Source organism: Homo sapiens, chromosome 15 (genome assembly GCF_000001405.40).
Source record: "Homo sapiens chromosome 15, GRCh38.p14 Primary Assembly".
In the NCBI taxonomy this organism is placed as follows: Eukaryota; Metazoa; Chordata; class Mammalia; order Primates; family Hominidae; genus Homo; species Homo sapiens.
Window position 1 is genome coordinate 62,175,705 of NC_000015.10, and position 6,573 is coordinate 62,182,277.

A 6,573-nucleotide genomic window follows, 5' to 3' on the forward strand; every position below is an offset into this window, starting at 1 on the left:
GATTTGAGTTAAACTGAGCATTTGACAGAAGGATTCTGACCCATTCCCTGGAGTGATTTGGGAAGGTATTTATAAAAAGGAATGATGTGCTCCAGTGATTTACAATAATGGCATATATTGTTTTGTCTTTGGTTTGTTTCTTGATTGTAAATATTGGTCAGTGTCCAAAATTAAGATGCAATCACTGGTTACCCCAACCTGGGATGTTTATTTGGAAAAACACAAAGTGGTTTAAAATTCATACAAATCACTCTAAACCTGGGTACACTCTTTTTCTTTAAATCTTAGATTCTGCTGTCAGATCAAGAGAAAAAGGGAAAGCTTTCATATTGCTCAAAATGATTTTTTAAAATTTCCTTCATTTCTTACTTCCTTCTCAACTCTTTTCCACTCTAAAACATTCTCAACTCCCTAACTCATTAAGATATTTTATTCATAAAGAGAACTTAAATTAAGATTTAAATAAATATTTATTAAACTGTTTTCCAGATTTACAAAATCCAGCTGGGTAACTCATTGAAAATAAGTACTGTGTAATCTGTTGTCTAGTAAAAAGGGTTTGAACAGGATGTTTAGGCCACATCTCAGCTCCATCATTCCTTCTGGTATCCTGGCATCACTGGGTAAGTTCACAGTTTAAGGAAGGAATCTGAGGTGGTAGAACCAGGTGTGCTGGAGAGGCAGCCTAGGTCAGTGGCTAAGAGTGAAATTCTGGCTTCACCACTTTCTAGCTCTTACAACCTTAGGAAGGTTATGTAATTTCATATTATTATTATTATTAAAGCCTTATGATATAGTTATTATTATTATCTCCATTTTAAAGATGAGAAAACACAGAGCACAAAACCATAAAGACTGTGTCTGGGATGCAGTAAGTGTTATGTAAGGGTGTTAAGCAAGTAAGCATACAAAATGCAGGACCAAAAGAAGCAACACCAGCCCCCAAACTACACCATGTGAATTTCCAAAGAACCAAGTGTTCACACTACATCAAAACGAGCCTGTTGAATCTTTTGGACTCTGAGAAATAAAGCATAGTTATTATCAAATTAAGATTTAAATTCAATTCCTCAGCTGCGTCTTGATCACTGGATACCACTTTAATAATCACATTATTAAAGAAAGTTCCAAGTTTGGGGTGGAATACTGCAGATGAGGAAAGTAGAAATTACTGCTATATTATGATCTACACTTTGTCTTAATATGATCTGGCCCATATAAAAATGCTCCAGAACAGTTGCAAAATATGGATATTTTTCTTTGAAAACCAGCCTTTTGTCTTTATAACTTACAAAGCCATTTTTCCCAGTCCACAAAGCTATTTGGTCACAAATTTAAGAAACCAGTGATTCCTGAGATATATGTGCTTTCACACTTCAGGAAATAATTTCAAAATGATTTTGGCAGTCTACCCATTTTTATAAAGATAAAAAACTAAAATATTATTTTGTCTTAGAAATAAGTATTAATAGAGACATTATTATATCTTTGCCCCTAGAGCTTTAGAAGCAAAGATTTGTCTTTCTCTTCCTCTCTCTCTCACTCTTCCCTATTTCCTCCTTCCTGGTGAGTCTTACTTCTGTATACTAGAGTAATTATATCTATTTTTTTGAATGCTTTTGTATGTATATTATAAAGTGTTTCCTTTCTTGTTCTCAATTCAAATGGAATACTGAACTGTGCTCTCTGTATACTAAGTTAACTGGGGCCTGTCGGGGGGGTGGGGGGAGGGGGGAGGGATAGCATTAGGAGGAAAACCTAATGTAAATGATGAGTTAATGGGTCCAGCAAACCAACATGGCACATGTATACATATGTAACAAACCTGCACGTTGTGCACATGTACCCTAGAACTTAAAGTATAATAAAAAAAAAAATTTAAAAAAAAATTTTGCCCAGCTCGTTTTTTTTCTTTAACTAGAATACTAAAGAGATACAATGATCTATTTTAAACAAAGCTATTTGTCTTAGTATTTTTTAAAATAGTACAAGGTGGAAAACAAGCTCAGGGTCTATCCCTATCAGAATAGTCAAACAACCAGAGTTCATGCATACTCTAGTATAATCTGCATCTGCTTAAAAATTTGAAGTCACATATACTAATTTTAAAAAGCCAATTCCGACACATTTTAAGAGGGAAACGATGCAGATTTTCCGCTCTAGCTCTGCTATGGTTTGATTCTTTGTCTCTTCCAAAACTCATGTTGAAATTTTATCCCCAGTGTGGCAGTATTGAGAGGTTAGGCCTTTAAGAGGTGATTGGATTGTGAGGGTTCTGACACGAATAGATTGATCCATTTGTGGATTAATGGGCTATCACAGGAGTGGAAAGAGAGGAAGAGAGATCTGAGCTAGCACACTTAGAAAGCTTGCCATGTGATACCCTGTGCCACCTTGGAACTCTATAGAGAATCCCCACCAGCAAGAAGGCCCTCACTAGATGCAGACCCTCGACCCTGGACCTCTCTCAGCCTCCTTAACTGTAAGAAATATATTCTTTTCTTTATAAATTACCCAGTTTCGGGTATTTTGTTGTAAGCAACAGAAAACTAAGACAAGCTCTCTTTATATATGTGTGTGTATATATATATATATATATATATATGTATTTTTTTTCTGTGTAGCAAAATCCCATTTATGTTTTTTCTCAATGAATAGAAGGCCTGAGAAGAGTTAACCTTTCTGAAGATACAGCTATGAGTGTGCCAGTAGTAATGGGATAACCTTTTACTCTGTATTGCCAGAATCTTTCAAAAGGACAAATTCATGTATATTTTGTATTATTATTTCTTAAGTCTGTGGTCTGCAACAGAGAATAAAAAGCTGTTTCATATCTTCTGTGTGTGCAAGGAACACAGCAGGATTCTGAAGAGGAAGTTTGCCATTCTCTGCTTGTCAAGGCTCCTCTCCAAGCCCATGATCACCCTTCCTTTTTAGCAGCATTCTGAAGACCCCTGCTGGGATGGTCTACCGTGGAGAGAGCACCGTCCACCATTCCAAATTTATTGCTGCCTTTCGTCTATCAGAATTTATCTGCCCCATTCCCTTTTTGTTTGCCTTGCTTTCTTCCCCAAAAGGTGAAAGTTGATACTAATTAAGTGCTATCTCCAAAGGCCTCTAAAAATAGAGCATAAAGCAATAAATAACATCATACAAGAATAAATCAACAGAGTTGATAAGTCATTTTCTGCTAAGAAATATGAACTGGCTCAATGTACATAAAAATTAGATGTAAGAGTATCTGTTTTGGGTTGCTTCAGGTGTGAGATAGGGATGATGCTCCAGTAGCCAATACCACCCCAAAAACACAGGTATGAAAGATCTCTCCATACTTTTTCTCTACTGTGCTGACAGTCCCTTTAGACTTACTTGTATATCAAGGTGTTTTAAAGACAGTATATTCTTGAAGTGGCCAAGCCACAGGGTTGGGAAGACATGAAGCATTTGCTCCTGAGATGACTGGAAGGTCCAGAACTCTGAGTGTAGGCAAGACCACTAACATCTTTGGCTCATGAGAGGCAGCCAGTCCTGGCAAGTCACTTCATATGTGGGTAGAGGTTGCATCTCTGGTCCAGCGGAGCCCCTAGTGCCAACTCCTCAGATGCACTGTCCTTCCTCCTCACTCTATCACACTCCTTCGTCATCCTTCCTGTAAGCTTGACACCTACCGAACTACCCTTTTAATGTCACACTGTCCCAAGATTTACCCTCAAGAAATAACGCCAGAAAGTCCACAGTTGGAATTTCTTTCTTTTGGGCTAGGAACTAATGGCCTTCCTGAAGGAGAGCTAAATACAGGAATGTAGAGGTCAACACTGTAAGGAAAGGCATAAAAATGAAAAAGTAAATGTCCCTATTTCATCAATAAGTGGAATGCAATCCTCAGGAAGATTTCTGACAGGCCCTAAGGCAGCCACCCTAACAGAGGGAGGAATGTCTCAAAGGAGGCAGGTTGAGAACTCAGACTCTATAGATCAGCCAGAGATTATAGAAATGTAAAGATAATACTGGTTATTTCTTATCCCAAACAAGGGAAATCTGCAATCCTCATCTCCACCCCCATACCTAAGACTACATTTCCGACGACCACAGAAACTTTTCCTTAGTTATCTGCTAAGGAAGTTAACAATTGTAGTTGGCCTCAGTAGCTGGGCTGAGCTAGGTTAGTGGATTCAGGAGGTAAGAACAAGGATTGAGGCAATTGGTCCATAGCAAAATGGAAAAAAAATAACTTTTCTATAAAAGTAATTCTATTTTAGAAAAAATAATCTCAAAACTGTTCCATTCCTAAAATGGAACCACAAAAGTCACCAGAGAGAAAAAGCAATCCTGAGCCAAAAGAACAAAACTGGAAGCATCACATTACCTGATCTCAAATTATACGACAAGGCTACAGTAACCAAAACAGCATGGTACTGACATAAAAATAGGCTCATAGACGAATGGAACAGAATAGAGAACCCAGAAATAAATCTACACACTTACAGCCAATTCGTTTTCAACAAGGGCACCAAGAACATACACTGGGGAAAGGACAGTCTCTTTAATAACTTGTGCCAGGAAAACTGGATATATACGCAGAAGAATGAAACTAGACCCCCATCTTTCACCATATACAAATTTAAACTCAAAATAGATCAAATCCCCATGCTCATTGCAGCACTGATTTGGAATAGTCAATATTTGGAATCAATCTAGGTATCTAACAAAAAATGAATGGATAAAGAAAATGTGGTATATATGCACAATGGCATACTATCCAGTCATAAAAAAGAATGAAATCCTGTCATTCACAGCAACATGGATGGAACTGAAGGACATATTAAGAAATAAACCAGAAACAGAAAGTTAAACACCACCTGTTCTTATTCATATATGGAAGCTAAAAAATGTTGCTCACACAGATATAAAAAGTAGAACAGAAAACACTAGAGGCTGAGTAGGATAGGAGGAAGAAAAGGATAGGGAAAGATTTGTTAAAGGATACAAAATGATAGCTAGATAGGAGGAATAACTTCTAGTGTTCTACATCACTGTAGAATGACTACAGTTAACAATAACATAAAGTTTCTAATAGCTAGAGGAAGGAAGTTAAGTGTTTCCAACACGAAGAAATTATAAATGTTTTTGAGACGTTAGATATGCTAATTACCCTGATCTGTTCACTATACATTATATGCATAGAAACATCACTACGTACCCCATAAATAAATGCAATTATTTTATGTCAACTGAAATAATAAAAAGAGGCAAGGCATGGTGGCTCACACCTGTAGAGATGAGGTCACACCTCTTTTGTAGAGATGAGGTCTCCTGTGTTGCCCAGGCTGGTCTCAAACTCCTGGCCTCAAGTGGTCTGCCTGCCTTGGCCTCCGTGGGAGGCCTCATCTCTACAAAACATTAAAAATGATAATAATAAAAAAGAAAAGAAAACTGAATTGGATCAAAGGCTTAAATGTAAGATATGAAACCATCAAAAGAAAACATTGGGAAAATGCTGTGGGAAATTGGTCTGGGTAAAGACTTTTTGGGTAAAACCTCAAAAGCACAGGCAACAAAAGCAAAAATAGACAAATGGGATTACATAAAGCTAAGAAGCTTCTGCATAATAAAGGAAACAATCAACAAAGTGAAGAGACAGCCTAAAGAATGGGGAAAATATTTGCAAACTCTCCATCTGAAAAGAAATTAATAATAAGAATATATAGGAAACTCAACTCAATAGCCAAAAAAAAAAAAATCTAATTTTTAAATGGGCAAAAGCCTCGGTGTGGTGGCTTGCACCTGTAATCGCAACACTTTGGGAGGCTGAGGCAGGAGGAAAGCTCAAGGTGAAGAGTTTGAGACCAGCCTGATCAACATAGTAAGATTCTGTCTCTACAAAATAAAAATAAAAATTAGTTGGGCATGGTGTCACCCACCTGTAGTCCCAGCTACTCAGGAGGCTGAGGCGGGAGGATTGCTTGAGCCCAGGAGTTTGAGGCTGCAGTGAGCTATAATTGTGCCACTGCACTATAGCCTTGGTGACAGAGACTTTGTCTAAAAAAAAATTAATTAAAATGGGCAAAAGACCTAAATAGACATTTTTCAAAAGAAGACATACAAATCACCAACAGGTATGTGAAAAAATGCTCAACATCATTAATACACAGGGAAATGCAAATCAAAACCACAATGAGATATTATCTCACCCCAGTTAGAATGGCTACTACCAAAAACACAAAAAATAACAAATGCTGGTACGACATGGAGAAAGGGGAATGCTCTTATGGTGTTGGTCGGTATGTGAAGTAGAACAGCTGTATGGAAAACAGTATGGAAGTTCCTTAAAAAACTAAAACTAAAACTACCATGTGATCCAGCAATACCAATGCTGGGTATATACCCTACAAAAAGGAAATCAGTGTATCGAAGAGATATCTGCACTCCCGTGTTCTTTGCAGTGCTATTCACAATAGCCAAGATTTGGAAGCAACATAAGTGTCCATCAATGGATGAAGAAAATGTGGTATATATACACAATGGAATGCTATTCACCCATTAAAAAAGAATGAAATCCTGTCATTTGCGGCA